The 13,830-nt window shown below is 48.0% G+C and overlaps 2 protein-coding genes across 19 annotated transcripts in view, besides 10 other annotated features; one reads left to right on the forward strand and one right to left on the reverse strand.

Moving 5' to 3' along the window:
* Positions 1-5,193, reverse strand: part of CCND3 (cyclin D3) — a 115,103-nt gene extending 109,910 nt beyond the window's left edge. For 6 of the 9 annotated variants that reach the window (NR_187571.1, NM_001424058.1, NM_001136126.3 and 3 more), the window contains exon 1: positions 3,659-3,846. The gene's annotated coding sequence lies outside the window, so the exon portion shown is untranslated. Of the gene's footprint in view, positions 1-3,658; positions 4,053-4,808 lie in introns of those variants that run through there. The other 3 variants (NM_001424057.1, NM_001424053.1, NM_001136017.3) reach the window with 2 other exon arrangements.
* Positions 470-1,060: an enhancer, noted in NCBI's record as "OCT4-NANOG-H3K4me1 hESC enhancer chr6:42013050-42013640 (GRCh37/hg19 assembly coordinates)". NCBI's record gives its function as "activates a minimal SCP1, AML or CMV promoter by ChIP-STARR-seq in primed H9 embryonic stem cells {active_cell/tissue: H9 hESC(primed)}" and the evidence as "EXISTENCE:reporter gene assay evidence [ECO:0000049][PMID:30033119]".
* Positions 885-1,034: an enhancer, noted in NCBI's record as "active region_24538". NCBI's record gives its function as "activates an Ori minimal core promoter by ATAC-STARR-seq in GM12878 lymphoblastoid cells {active_cell/tissue: GM12878}" and the evidence as "EXISTENCE:reporter gene assay evidence [ECO:0000049][PMID:35858748]".
* Positions 1,061-1,650: an enhancer, noted in NCBI's record as "OCT4-NANOG-H3K4me1 hESC enhancer chr6:42013641-42014230 (GRCh37/hg19 assembly coordinates)". NCBI's record gives its function as "activates a minimal SCP1, AML or CMV promoter by ChIP-STARR-seq in primed H9 embryonic stem cells {active_cell/tissue: H9 hESC(primed)}" and the evidence as "EXISTENCE:reporter gene assay evidence [ECO:0000049][PMID:30033119]".
* Positions 1,335-1,384: an enhancer, noted in NCBI's record as "active region_24539". NCBI's record gives its function as "activates an Ori minimal core promoter by ATAC-STARR-seq in GM12878 lymphoblastoid cells {active_cell/tissue: GM12878}" and the evidence as "EXISTENCE:reporter gene assay evidence [ECO:0000049][PMID:35858748]".
* Positions 3,499-3,548: an enhancer, noted in NCBI's record as "active region_24540". NCBI's record gives its function as "activates an Ori minimal core promoter by ATAC-STARR-seq in GM12878 lymphoblastoid cells {active_cell/tissue: GM12878}" and the evidence as "EXISTENCE:reporter gene assay evidence [ECO:0000049][PMID:35858748]".
* Positions 3,919-4,168: a silencer, noted in NCBI's record as "silent region_17197". NCBI's record gives its function as "represses an Ori minimal core promoter by ATAC-STARR-seq in GM12878 lymphoblastoid cells {active_cell/tissue: GM12878}" and the evidence as "EXISTENCE:reporter gene assay evidence [ECO:0000049][PMID:35858748]".
* Positions 5,305-5,856: an enhancer, noted in NCBI's record as "H3K27ac hESC enhancer chr6:42017885-42018436 (GRCh37/hg19 assembly coordinates)". NCBI's record gives its function as "activates a minimal SCP1, AML or CMV promoter by ChIP-STARR-seq in primed H9 embryonic stem cells {active_cell/tissue: H9 hESC(primed)}" and the evidence as "EXISTENCE:reporter gene assay evidence [ECO:0000049][PMID:30033119]".
* Positions 5,305-6,408: a biological region, named in NCBI's record as "H3K27ac hESC enhancers GRCh37_chr6:42017885-42018436 and GRCh37_chr6:42018437-42018988".
* Positions 5,638-6,187: an enhancer, noted in NCBI's record as "active region_24541". NCBI's record gives its function as "activates an Ori minimal core promoter by ATAC-STARR-seq in GM12878 lymphoblastoid cells {active_cell/tissue: GM12878}" and the evidence as "EXISTENCE:reporter gene assay evidence [ECO:0000049][PMID:35858748]".
* Positions 5,682-13,830, forward strand: part of TAF8 (TATA-box binding protein associated factor 8) — a 36,939-nt gene continuing 28,790 nt past the window's right edge. For 9 of the 10 annotated variants that reach the window (NM_001438580.1, NM_001410907.1, NM_001438582.1 and 6 more), the window contains exons 1-5: positions 5,682-5,744; positions 6,515-6,671; positions 10,689-10,787; positions 11,110-11,172; positions 12,547-12,671. In NM_001438580.1, the coding sequence (NP_001425509.1) occupies positions 5,700-5,744; positions 6,515-6,671; positions 10,689-10,787; positions 11,110-11,172; positions 12,547-12,671 (489 nt within the window). In that variant the 5' untranslated portion in view covers positions 5,682-5,699. Of the gene's footprint in view, positions 6,310-6,514; positions 6,672-10,688; positions 10,788-11,109; positions 11,173-12,546; positions 12,672-13,830 lie in introns of all 10 variants that reach the window. The other variant, XM_047418177.1, reaches the window with a different exon arrangement.
* Positions 5,857-6,408: an enhancer, noted in NCBI's record as "H3K27ac hESC enhancer chr6:42018437-42018988 (GRCh37/hg19 assembly coordinates)". NCBI's record gives its function as "activates a minimal SCP1, AML or CMV promoter by ChIP-STARR-seq in primed H9 embryonic stem cells {active_cell/tissue: H9 hESC(primed)}" and the evidence as "EXISTENCE:reporter gene assay evidence [ECO:0000049][PMID:30033119]".

Genomic DNA, 13,830 nt, shown 5'->3' on the forward strand with positions numbered 1-13,830 from the left:
CGATGGCGTGATCTTGGCTCACTGCAACCTCCGCCTCCCGGGTTCAAGTGATTCTCCCACCTCAGCCTCCTGAGTAGGTGGGATTACAGGCCCGTGCGACCACGCCCGGCTAACGTTTTTTTTTTTTTTTTTTTTGTATTTTTAGTAGAGATGAGGTTTCACCATGTTGGTCAGGCTGGTCTCGAACTGCTGACCTCGTGATCCGCCCACCTTGGCCTCCCAAAGTGCTGGGATTACAGGCGTGAGCCACTGTGCCCAGTGGCTATCCTTTCTTAAATACATTAACTTCCAAGGAATCCCTTCCAATTCTATCCCTCTCCCATACTAGCAGCAGCATTTAAAAAAATCCCTTTATATTTCAGCCTCCCTGTCTCAGTGTTTGATATATTAGGAAAGTCAATGCTCAGACTGAGAGTTAATTCACGAGTAAAGAGCCTAGACTTTGAAATCAGATAGATCCTCGTTCAATTCCAAGCTCTGCCACTTACTAGCTAAATTACTTTGAGCAAGTTTGCCTTTCTGAGCCTCAGTTTCCTATCTGTAAATTGGAGATAGAGGTGTTTACTACCTAGAGTTGTGGTGAATAAATATTAAATGAGACAGTACAAGTAAAAACTTAGGGACAGCTCCCGCAACACCATTCAGCTCCTAAGTGGCAATTACAGCCACATTCCTCTGAGTTTAAAGGTTGTAGGAAATGCTTTGGGGAAGAGAAAAGTGAAGGGGCCAAAGAAGAGACTTTCTGGAATTAGCCTTTCTCAACCTGCACGAATCCCAGGGGAATTCCAACAGATGGGTAACTTGTTCCAATGCCATTTCTAGCAGTGTCTGTTGCCACCCCTAGAAAGGGGCAGGCCTTGACAGCTCTTTGAAACTTGAGGATTTAAAATTTAAATGTCTTTGAGAGCAAGATAAACACATCTACTGCTCAGCAGGGAAAGGGAAACTTGGCAGGGGCCCCAGAACTTTCCCCACCCCCAGCCCTCCCTAAACTTCCTCTTGTGGTTTTTCAAGAGTACAACCTGTTCTCCACAGCCAAGCCAGTGCCTGGGGCAGGGGGCCAGGGCGTGCCAAGGGCTCCGCTGCACCCCACCCTACCAGCGAGTGAGGGAGGAAGGTGCGTGCGTGGGAGAAGAGCAGCTTGGAGGTTTATAGTTCTTAAGGTTCACGTCCTGCTTACCCGTTTTCTCAGTGCAGCCACCCTCCACCCAGTTCCCACCCTCGACTCCCAGCATCAATACCCATGCCCCCAACACACATCCCTTTCTCAAAGACAGATGCACGAAGTGCTTTGACTGCAGGCAGAGAGGGACCGCCTCAAGGCCTCCCCAAACCTGTGGGGAGGGCCCTTGTAAGAAATTTAAAAGCGTTTCAGAAAGGAGGTGGAAAAGGGGCTGGAATCCATGGAAACTGTCCCGTGCTCTCGCTTGCATCACCAGCATTATCCCAGCCTGTCTGGAGGGACTGGGTAGGATATACAGATGCAGCTTTGGAAGCAGGAGCTGTGGGAAAGAGAGGTGTGAGCATCTTAAGCCTGGACCCACTCCTTGGCCATCTTCCTTACTCATCTACCAAGCTGGAATGCACATCTAGAATGTGAGCATCTCTGCTATTCTTAATTCCCAACAAAAGAGGTGTCTTGGTTTCCCAAATCCCCAGATTCTGGCACATCACGTCCAAGTTGAGAAGTTCTTTCTTGAATATAATCTTAGTTCATTCCTCCCGGTTTATTCATATTCCTCCTTTCCCTTTGAGTGAGGCTTACACAGGGGGAAACATTCATACGTTTGTGTGCACGCACACACGCGCGCGCACACACACACACACAGCCATCAGGAAAGGATACCAGCTCTGTGCAGTTCCCACAACTCTATTCCAGGCCTGCTGGGCTCACTGTAAACAGTACCAGCCCTATGGCTCAGCTAACAGATGGCTGTATCATCCAAGATACAGGACCACAGACTCCCTTTAGGAAACTCCTAAGTTCCTGGCTCAAGTGCACATTTTTTGTGGTCAGCGAAGGAGGCAGGCTAGCCTAATGGTTAAGAATAAAGCCTCCCAAATCAAGTGACCTAGGTTTAAATCCCAGCTCTGCCATTTGTTTCTTGTGTCTGAAGGAAGATTACTTATCTCCAGTGCCTGCGTTTCCTCGTCTATAAAATGGAGAGAATCCTAATGCCTACCTCATAGGACTATATTAGGAGGTTTAAATGAGATATGATCTCTAAGCCACTTAGAAGAGTACCTGACAGTGTTATGTAACTGTTAGCTAGTATTCTAAGCCCTTGAGGGAAGGGGAAGCCGGAAGGAGAAGATGTTTGGGACCATGGAGGTCATGATCTCAATAACTGGCATAGACTAGAACTCTGCTACAATTATCAGAGGCTTTCAGTGTTAAGTTCCAGGGGAAGAAACTCTGATTTGATTACCATGACATCCCCAACAGCTGTGGGAATAGCCTGTGCAGATGGAGTATGGCCATAGCAAATAGGTGCTGAATGAATTCATAAATTGCTGTGTCAGTCATTTCCCGAAGGAGCCCCAGAATTGAACGGCCAGAAGAATCTGTGAGGAAGCAAAGGGAGATCCACTTCTCTATCCACGTCTGGTCCCAAAGAGAAATGAGGTGGTAGGCAGAGGGCAAGGACTCGTCAGAGGAAACAGTCTCAGAGTCCAGGGATGAGGAGGGGGTGCCCAGGATTGTGTGGACTGTCACATCACCCCCAGGTGGACCCTCCCAGCTGTACCCAGCTGGGAATTCCTGGGTTCTTGGGACCCAGCCCAGAAAACTGCCTTTTCTGGGATTCATCCTGTTCATTCCCTTGATGGTTAGACAGTGGATTAAAGGGAGCAGGAATTGTTTCTGGGTCGCCCCTATATTCCAGTGTCCAACACCACAGCTGGGGTTCAATCCAGTTCTGTGGAATAAGTGCCCCCAAAGACTTCTATGCTTTTCATCCTTCTGAACCCAACTCAAATGTCCTTTTCTCTCTGAAGCCTTCCCAGCCACCCCAGCCAGTGTACTTGGCATCTATGTCTATTGTTTTGTGATCCATATTAGCTGTGGATGAATAACATCATTGCACCCTCAGCATTCCATATAATGCCAGGCACATAGTAGGTGTTCAATCAATGCAAATGAATAACTTAATGCTCCCTTAGTAACAGCAACCAATTTATTCAGTTATTCCTCTTGTTGGCACTTCAAGAGACACAGAAGAAGCTAAGATCATCATCTATGTATCAATCAGACACCACTGAGGGGTCCCTCCCTCCAGTTTCATCCCGGTGCACTTGCCAGAGCACTCACAGACTCCCCATCCACACTGGTCTGCCCTCCTACTGGCCTTCCACCCCATCTTTGAGGCATGAGAAGACCAACAGCCCGGTAAAGCCACGGGGCTTCCAGATCAGCTGGAGGGGGTTGTGCCGATGTGTGTACATACAGAGGGCTCAGGGCCTTTGGGGGTTTCTCTGCCCTTCAATTCCGTGCAGAACACCTCACTCAGTGGGAAAGTGAGCCAAGCTTTCGGTGCCAACTAGGAAGTGATGAGGATGCGGCGACCCCATTGACCCACCCAGCACCGATCCCCAACGCATGGTCTCCAGCCTGAGCTGACATCCCATCTACCCCGGTTTCTCCAGCACCCAAGCCTACCTCCTCGTCAGGTGACCTCCCCGGAGCACCGACTGGGGTCGCAGGCGCTCTGTCCCGCCGCCTCCGGAGCCTGCCTTTGGGGAGTGGGGGTGGTCGCAACCACCAGCCGCGAGGAGAGGATTGCACCTCTCCCCCCCGGCCGGCATCCGAACAGAGCCAGTCTCCACCCCTGCAGTGGCGAAGTGTTTACAAAGTCCGCGCCGCGCCGCCGATCCAGAGCTGGGCAGGAAGTGGGGAAGAGGGGGCGGAGGAGACAAAGGGGCTGGTGCTCTGCTCAGCCAAGTTTCGGTCCCCGGCCTGACTCTCCCACCCCCTGTACACCCTCGGCGAGGCCAGGAGGCTCATCCGGCGCCGCGCACCCCCGCCCGCAGCCCCCGCCCCACGCGGCATAGGTGCGGGGGCGGGGCGCCACGGAGGCTCAGGTGTGGGCGGCGGGGCCGGGGCAGCACGGGTTCCCGGACCGCTGCCTCCCGGCGTTGGCAACTCCTCCACGTGCTATCCAGGAAGTAAACAACATCATGAGGAGCGACTTCTTTTTCTTTTTCTTTTTTTTGAGATGGAGTCTCCCTCTGTCGCCCAGGCTGGAGTGCAGTGGCGCGATCTCGGCTCACTGCAACCTCCGCCTCCCGGATTCAAGCTATTCTCCTGCCTCAGCCTCCCGAGTAGCTAGGACTACAGGCGCACGCCGCCACGCCCGGCTAATTTTGTGTATTTTTAGTAGACACGGGGTTTCACCATGTTGGTCAGGCTGGTCTCGAACTCCTGACCTGAGGTGATCCACCCGCCTCGGCCTCTCAAAGTGCTGGGATTACAGGCGAGAGCCACCGCGCCCGGCCGATTTCTTGACTCTTACTACACGTCAGGCACTGTGACAGACTCTTTCTGTGTATCATCTCATCTTTCCCCCAGCTTTACAGAAGAGGAAACTGAGACACACTGAGGATTAAGGTCAAGTGCCCGAAGTACCATAGCTGGCTAGTGTTAGGATCCAAGCCCAGAATCTGCGTCCTGCCAGGCACCTGCAAATGGGGACGAACACGGCGCAGCTAGAGGGGCTGACAGGCTAGGGAGAAAACCACTGGTAGCCGCGGGCACCCCACGCCCTGGGAGTGAGGCGGCAAGGGACAAGTCTCCCGCCCCCTAGACTTGCCTCGCAAATACTTGCGGGTCGAGGGCGCGAAGGCAGCAGGATGCAGCGATAGACTTGGACTAGGTGGTCCAGGCTCTACTTCCAAGTGGGCCATTGACAGGCGGGGCGGCCCTCAGCACAAAATCACCAGGCTGGATGCTCCAGGGTTTCCCAACATTACTCGCTCAGAAGAATCATCTGGGGAGCTCCTTAATGAGAAAGATTCCCAAGCCCCTCTTCCAGAGAGTGAAGTCACTGGGATTGGGCTGGGCCCAGCCAGGTGTTACTAATAATAAGACAAGTTTGGAAAACCCTGCGAGTGTAGATGATCTCCTGGTATGCTCTTTATAAGAACCGATTTTCATATTAAAATAGGTTTCTTTTAACTCAGTGAAACCGGGCGCGTTTTCCTGGCCCACAACCAAGCCACTGAAGGCCCCAGAACACTTCACTCTCAAAAGGTCACGTGAGGCTGGCGCGGTAGCTCACGCCTGTAATCCCAGCACCTTGTGAGGCCGAGGCCGCGGACTGCTTGAGCTTAGGTGTTCGAGACCAGCCTGGCCAACATGGCGAAACTCGGTCTCTACTAAAAATACAAAAACTAGCGGGGCGTGGTGGTGCCCGCCTGTAATCCCAGCTACTCCGGAGGCTGAGGCGGGAGGATCGCTTGAGCCTGGGAGGTGGAGGTTGCAGTGAACCGAGATCGCGCCATTGCACTCTAGCCTGTGAAACGGAGCAAGACTCTGTATCCAAAAAAAAAAAAAAAAAGTCACGTGAGCCGGGGTCACCGGAGGCGTCCCCCAACCGACTGGGCTTCGGAAAACCAAGGGGCGCACGCCGCCCCGCCCCGCCCCGCCCCGCGACTACAAGTCCCATCGCGCCCCGCGCTCGCGCACACTACGCCAGAACAAGATGGCCGACGCGGCGGCCACAGCTGGGGCCGGTGGCTCCGGAACGGTAAGGGCAGGAAGCGCGGGCTCGGAGCCGAGAGAGTTTGGGTATCCTGCAACTTTCCCCTCGACTGAGCAACAAGATAATGCCCAGAAATTCAGCCCCATCATGAGCTCCGACTGGCGGAGGGTGTTTTCAGGCCGTAGGCGCCCCCTCCTTGGGACTTGGCTGCGGCCTCCGGAGTTGGCGGACCTGTGTCTTGATTGGCTCGTTCGCTGTTGGGGGTTGGGAGCCCGGAACACCCCCGATTGGTCTGAAGATGCCGTTTTCGCCTTCTTATTGGCCGGCCAAAGTTGAAAGGCATTCCCGTTTCAAAATATTTAGCTTTCTTACTTTTTTGTGCTTTTATCTTTTGCCCTCCTCTCCTCGCGGTCACCTCTTGTTACTGTTTTCATTTTCCCTTTCAATGAAATGGTGTGAAGATGGGAGGCACAAGAGAGGGATCCTGTTTTTTCTGCGGGACACGTCTTAATCCCATCATGCGTGTTTCTTCAGCTATGTATTCTAATAATCTGCTAAAGTAGAAAGTAAAAGACCTGCTATTTTATCTCATTGGGACTGTACGTTTTAGGTAAGCGGAGAAGTGGTCTCTGTATTTAAAGCACCTTGGGTGCTCAATTTTTACTCAGTTGGCCAAGATCTGTAAATCTAAACATTAAGCACTGATTTTTAAAATAAAATTATTTAGTAAAATAACTTTGCTTGCCGTTGACCACGTATGAACTATGTGATTGCATCCTTCTCCTGTGGATGAAAATCTCTCTGCTGATTCACAGAGATCGGGAAGTAAACAGTCCACTAACCCTGCCGATAACTATCATCTGGCCCGGAGGAGAACCCTGCAGGTGGTTGTGAGCTCCTTGCTGACAGAGGCAGGGTTTGAGAGTGCCGAGAAAGCATCCGTGGAAACGCTGACAGAGATGCTGCAGAGCTGTGAGTACATGGAAACACTTGGCCTTGGAGTCAACCCCAACATCAGTTCTGTGCCCTGCTTTGTGATAGTGTTTGAGAGGATTTAAGAAACAAACTTTTTTCTTAAGAGGGGAGAAAAAAAATTTTTTTTAATGTAAAAAGTTGAGAAAAGAAAACAGCACAATGGGCCGAGCGTGGTGGCTCACGCCTGTAATCCCAGTACTTTAGGAGGCTGAGGCGGGTGGATCACCTGAAGTCAGGAGTTCAAGACCAGCCTGGCCAACGTGGCGAAACCCCGTCTCTACTAAAAAACACACAAAAAAATTAGCTGGGCGTGGTGGCAGGTGTCTATAATCCCAGCCACTCGGGAGACTGAGGCAGGAGAATCGCTTGAATCTGGGAGGCAGAGGTTACAGTGAACTGAGATCGCACCACTGCACTCCAGCCTGTGAGGCTCCATCTCCAACAACAACAACAAAAACAGAAAAGAGCATAATGAAGTGACTTACAGGCTTTAGAATCAGATAGACTTGGTGTACATCATCACTCTGTCACTTAATAGCTTGGGCAAGCCACTGAATCTCCTGAACCTCAATTTCCTCATTTCTGAAATGGGATAACAGTTTCTACCTCATGGATTTGTGAGTGTAAGTGAGATGTATATATAAAACATTCAGTGCTGGGGAGATTTTAAGCTCTTGGTGAGTTATGGGTGCCCTTAAGGACTTTTGTTGGGGAGTCAGGACTAATTCCCCATGCAATAGATATCATCACATTATGTAATGAAATGCTAGATTGTGTGATACAAAGAATGAAGGGGAAAAGCCCCCCCCCCCTTTTTTTTTTTGAGACAGAGTCTCACTGTGTTGCCCAGGCTGGGGTGCAGTGGCACAATCTCAGCTCACTGCAGCCTCCGCCTCCCAGGTTCAAGCAATTCTCCTGCCACAGCCTCCCAAGTAGCTGGGATCATAGGCGTGCACCACCACGCCTGGCTAATTTTTGTATTTTTAGTAGAGACAGGGTTTCACCATGTTGGCCAGGCTGGTCTTGAACTCCTGACCTCAGGTGATCCACCCACCTTGGCCTCTCAAAGTGCTGGGATTACAGGCATGAGCCACTACACCCAGCTGAAAAGCTACTTTTAAAAGGAAATGTGTTGAGATTTAGAAGCCCGGGTGTGGTCTTACAGAGGCTTTTCTGCATGTACAACATATTTCCCTGTTTTGAACTTTTGGGGCATGGGATGGGATGAGGGATGGAAGTATTTACGGTGTTTCTTAGGGATCAACAACTATGAAAGGAAGTAGGAGAAAGGTTTGGGCAGAGGGAGATGTGGGGTGCAATGCAGGCCCAATAAAGAAGTGGACAACTTAGCCAGGACCCCTGGAGCATTATTGCCCATCAAGCTGAAAAGGCCCTGCCTTTATACTCAGGTCTTGATCAAACAGTAGATGTGGGCTACCCCAGGAAGGGTGATCTTGGGCAAGGTGGCTCTCTGCAGCTGATATTTGGCACTTTTAAATACCAAATGTTTTCCTAAAGCAGTGATCTCAATCATTGTGGCTTCAGAACTCCTATATTTATTTATTCTTATTAATTAGAGATGGGGTCTTGCTGTGTTGCCCAGGCTGGCCTCAAACTTCTGGACCCAAGCCTCCCACATAGCTGGGACTACAGGCATGTGCCACCACACCCAGCTCTCAGAATCCCTTTATATTAATAAACATTGAGGACCCCAAGTAGCTTTTGTATATGTGTATTTGCCACGTTAGAAAAAACAAATTTTGGGTCTAGGTGTGGTGGCTCACGCCTGTAATCCCAGCACTTTGGGAGGCCGAGGCGGGTATATCGCCTGAGGTCAGGAGTTTCAAGACCAACCTTGCCAACATACTGAAACCCTGTCTCTACTAAAAATGCAAAAAATTAGCTGGATGTGGTGGCGGGCGCCTGTAATTACAGCTACTCGGGAGGCTGAGGCAGGAGAATCGCTTGAACCCAGGTGGCAGAGATTGCATTGAGCCAAGATCACACCATTGTACTCCAGCCTGGGCAACAAGAGCGAAACTCCGTCTCAAAAAAAAAAAAAGAAAAAAAAAGAAGAAGAAATTTTGAAAATAAGAATGTACAATCACATATTCTGTTATTCATCAGACCCATGTTGTCATCAAAAGTCACATAGACTCAGGAAAACTACCTGAGAGAATGAGAGTGAAAAAGTCAAATAACAACTTAATTTTATTATGAAAATAGTTTTGACCTGTGGACTTTAGAAAAGATTTTGGGGCCTACCACAGATTCCCAGGCTACTACTTTTTGAACTTTGTCCTAAAGGAATGAATTAATAGTTCCCAAGAGATAAGAATGCAGTTCTTGGAACAATCTTGGAATTTAGAGTTTAAAAGTCATGTCTAGAGGCTGGTATTAGTGACTTGCTCAGTATAGCAGGGGGGTTGGTGGTAGGTGGTAGGTCTCTTGTTAGACACCCTTCCCTGTCAAGTACCACTTGCTTTTATCTTCTGAGCCACTGGGCCCCTAAAGTAGGAGTTCTTTACCTTTTGAGACCCCTTTGTACATTTGATAAAATCTGTGGACCCATTCCCCAAAAAATGCTTTTTTTGTGTTTAAAATTCAGCACAGCTTCAGAGTATTCATGAAACCTCCTGTCCACCTTGGAAGCTCATTCACAGAGCCGAGCTTCAAAAACTCCATCTTAGAAACCTTTCCCCTTTCCCCAAAAGACTTTAACGTGACTCTTAAATAGAGGTTCAGCTTCAGGCAGAAGAAAGAAAAATTGCCCATCAGAGAATAAGACCTTTTTGTGTGTGTGGTAGTGAGATATTCATAAAAAAATTTATCATTTTAACCATTTTTAAGTGTACAATTCAGTGGTATTAAGTACATTCACAATGTTGTGCAGCCATTTACATTATTTCCAGAACTTTTTCATCATTCTAAACAGAAACTCTGTACCCATAAACAATAACTCCCCATTCTCCCTCCCCCTCCATCCCCTGGTAACTTCTAATCTACTTTCCATCTCTAGATACCTCATATAAGTAGAATCTTTATTTGTCTTTTTATGTCTACCTTATTTCACTTAGCATAATGTTTTCTTTTTTCTTTTCTTTTTTTCTGAGATGGAGTCTCGCTGTGTCTCCCAGGCTGGAGTGCAGTGGTGCCATCTCGGCTCACTGCAACCACCTCCACCTCCCAGGTTCAAGCGATTTTCAGCCTCCTGAGTAGCTGGGATTACAGGTGTGTGCCACCTCACCTGGCTAATTTTTTATATTTGTGGTAGAGTTGGGGTTTTGCCATGTTGGCCAGGCTAGTCTTGAACTCCTGACCTCAAGTGATCCACCTGCCTCAGCCTCCCAAGTGCTAGGATTACAGGCGTGAGCCACCACACCTGGCCTTAGCATAATGTTTTCTTTTTCTTTTCTTTTTTTTTTTTTTTGAGAAGGAGTTCTCACTCTGTCGCCCAGGCTGGAGTGCAATGGCACAATCTCTGCTCACTGCAACCTCCTCCTTCCAGGTTCAAGCTATTTCTCAGCCTCCCAAGTGGCTAGGATTACAGGCGCCTACCACCAGGCCTGGCTAATTTTTGTATTTTTAGTAGAGAAGGGGTTTCGCCATGTTGGTCAGGTTGGTCTCAAACTCCTGACCTCAGGTGATCCACTGGCCTTGGCCTCCCAAAGTGCTGGGATTACAGGCCTGCGCCACCACACCTGGTCTAGCATAATGTTTTCAAAGTTCATCTATGCTATAACATTACCAGAATTTCCTTCCTTTTAAAGGCTGAATAATATTCCATTGTATGTATACAGCACATTTTGTTTGTTCATTCACCTGTTGTTTCTACCTTTTGGCTGCTGTGAATCATGCTGCTGTGAACATTGGTGTACTAGTAGCTTTTCGAATCCCTGCTTTCAGTTCATTTATGTATATACCTAGGAGTGGAATTGTTGGCTCATCTGGTAATTCTATGTTTAACTTTCTGAGGAACTGAGAATAAGTTTTATGCCTTTAATCCCCTCTTAGACATTTCAGAAATTGGGAGAAGTGCCAAGTCTTACTGTGAGCACACAGCCAGGACCCAGCCCACACTGTCCGATATCGTGGTCACACTTGTTGAGATGGGTGAGTATACCTTCAGTTTCCAGTTCTTCGATGCAACTGGGAGAGGAGTCCCTAGGAATCAGGCATGTCTGCTAAGTGTTCTTGGTTTCCCTCATGGTTCTCTTGAATTGCTTTGAGCTTGAGAGAGTTATCAAGAGAGATTCCTCTGAACACATCTAAGAGGCCTCATAATTCCCTGTTAGGGAATTCTGCCAGAGCTTCTTTTGCGTGGCTGCAAGGTCATTGAGTTGAGAGTTTAAGCCATTTGTCCATACTACTACTATTCTTTCTGTATTCAATATCCAGTGGTCTGGGCAGTGATTTTTGTTTTCCTGTCTCTTAGGTTTCAATGTGGACACTCTCCCTGCTTATGCAAAACGGTCTCAGAGGATGGTCATCACTGCTCGTAAGTGACTTTGAACTGAGGTACTTAGCAATTTTTCAATTAATGCTTGTGGAATGAAGTAATTGAATATGGTAGGGATTGGATTAGTAGCTACTTCCTTGTTGTGGGCTCTCTTCCAATGTTTGGGGCTACCTACAATATAATCTTTATTTGGGCTAGTCTGATTAGCATGTGAAATTCAGTCACCAAAAGGTAAACCATCTTTGAGATATTGCTGTGTTTCTTGTGTTCTAGCCCCAGAAGGGCAAATGATGCTGCTTGGAAAAATGAAAGTTTTTGTTCTTCTTAGATTAAGGGTTGGTAAATTGTGGCCTATGGGCCAAATGCAGCCTGCCTCCTGTTTTTGTAAATAAAGTCTTATCGGAATGCAGCCATATTTACTTATTATCTGTGGTTGTTTTCATGCTATAATGGCATAGTTTAGTTGTGGTAGAGACTGTACCACATGCAAAACCTAAAGTATTTATTATATGGCCCTTTACACAAACTTTGATGACCTCTACTTTAAGTAAACCTGGGTGCCATAAGCTGAGTAGAGAGTAACCAGTTTGGGCTTGTAGGACCTGGAGAGAGTTAACTGGATTTTTTTCTTTTCTTTCTTTTTTTGAGATGGAGTCTCGCTCTGTTGCCCAGGCTGGAGTGCAGTGGCACAATCTCGGCTGACTACTGCAACCTCTGCCTCCGAGGTTCAAGCTATTCTCCTGCTTCAGCCTCCCAAGTAGCTGGGATTACAGGCGCTCGCCACCACACCCAGCTAACTTTTATATTTTTAGTAGAGACAGGGTTTTACCATGTTGGCCAAGCTGGTCTCGAACTCCTGACCTCGAGTGATCCGCCTGCCTCGGCCTCTCAGAGTGCTGGGATTACAGGCGTGAGCCACCGCACCCGGCCTGGATTTCTTCTTTAAAGTCACTTTTTTCTTGTTGGCATTTTTTTAAAAACTCCCTCTCAACATAGCAGTGGAAGGTGCCATTTTCAATCCCCTCTTGTTATGATTAAGCTCACACTTAATGTCCCCAGCTCATTGTTCCTTTTTGTTATCCAAGGTCTCTGAAAAGAGAACCAGCAGCCCATGTAACCTGCGTAGCTCCTCAGCATGCTGTTTTACGTAGTTACTGTGGCCACAGCCACCCACCTCTACCTAAGAGGCTTGTGGGCAGATTGTTGTCAAAGGGAACGTCAACCAAGATTAGCCAGCAGGGCTGGGCATTGTAAGCCATCAAAGACCTTTTATCGATTGAAATACAAAATGCAACTTGTTTAGAAAATTGAGGTCTGGCATTTTTTTGAGAAAAGGAGGCTTTGGGGAGAGACCATAATCTGTAGAAATCAGGGTCTTGGGTGGAGGGGTAATCAGTTGTGACTCTGTTGCAGCTCCGGTGACCAATCAGCCAGTGACCCCCAAGGCCCTCACTGCAGGGCAGAACCGACCCCACCCGCCGCACATCCCCAGCCATTTTCCTGAGTTCCCTGATCCCCACACCTACATCAAAACTCCGGTGAGTGATGAAGCACTGGGACTGCGCGTGGTGTAAAGCACGGAGTCAGTTCCTACTGACTGTCACGTGGCAGAGTCCAGTCCAAAAGCTTGTTGATGAAAGAGTGGTTCAAAACTCAGAATGTGGCCGGGCACATTGGCTCACACCTGTAATCCCAGCATTTTAGGAGGCCGAGGCAGGAGGATCACTTGAGCCTGGGAGTTCAAGACCAGCCTGGGCAGCAGAGCAAGACCCTGTCTCATTTGAAAAATAAATAAATAAAGAAAAAAAAAAGAATTCAGATTATCTTTCATAATTGAGAAACAATTTGGCAAATGAGAATTATGTTCTCAAGTTTGCCAGCTAAAGTATAATTAACAAAGAAATTGAAGCTGGCCCCAGTATTGCCTGTCCTACTAAAACACAAAAGTACATAGCCGCATAGGAACAAGACTGAAAAGGTATTCCACTAAATGTTCATAGTAATTTTGGGTTGAGATTATAGGTCATTTTGTTTTGTGTTTACTTTTCTGAGTTTTCCAAATTTTCCATAATAGGAAAATTATTTTTTCAATTGGGGGAAAAGTTACTTTAAAAATATTTAGTAATGGCCGGGAGCAGTGGCTCATACCTTTAATCCCAACACTTTGGAAGGCCGAGGCAGATGGATCACCTGAGGTCAGGAATTCAAGACCAGCCTGGCCAACACAGTGAAACCCCATCTCTACTAAAATTACAAAAATTAGCTGTGCGTGGTGGCACATACCTGTAGTTCCAGCTACTCAGGAGGCTGAGGCAGGAGAATCTAACCTGGGAGACAGAGGTTGCAGTGAGCTGAGATTGCGCCACTGCACTCCAGCCTAGGCGACAGAGCAAGACTCTGTCTCAAAAAGAAATAAATAAAAATTAGTAATGATAATGAAATGGAACTTATCACTCTGAGCTCTAGGTCTGAATGAGGAGAAGATGAATTATCCTCTGTGGTTTGAATGTGTTCTAATTTGCCTGAATGGCAGTTTTACCTTCCGTTGGGAAGGTGCCCTCCCACACTTCCTTTGCTTCTGCCTGCATACCATATAGTGATGGCAAGCCCTCACGTCCTCTGGGCATTTTTCCATACCTTAGGGTGGGGGAGAGGGAATAGTAGCTGCCCAGCTAATGCAACATAGCCCTTGCCCTT

Source organism: Homo sapiens, chromosome 6 (assembly GCF_000001405.40).
Source record: "Homo sapiens chromosome 6, GRCh38.p14 Primary Assembly".
NCBI lineage: Eukaryota > Metazoa > Chordata > Mammalia > Primates > Hominidae > Homo > Homo sapiens.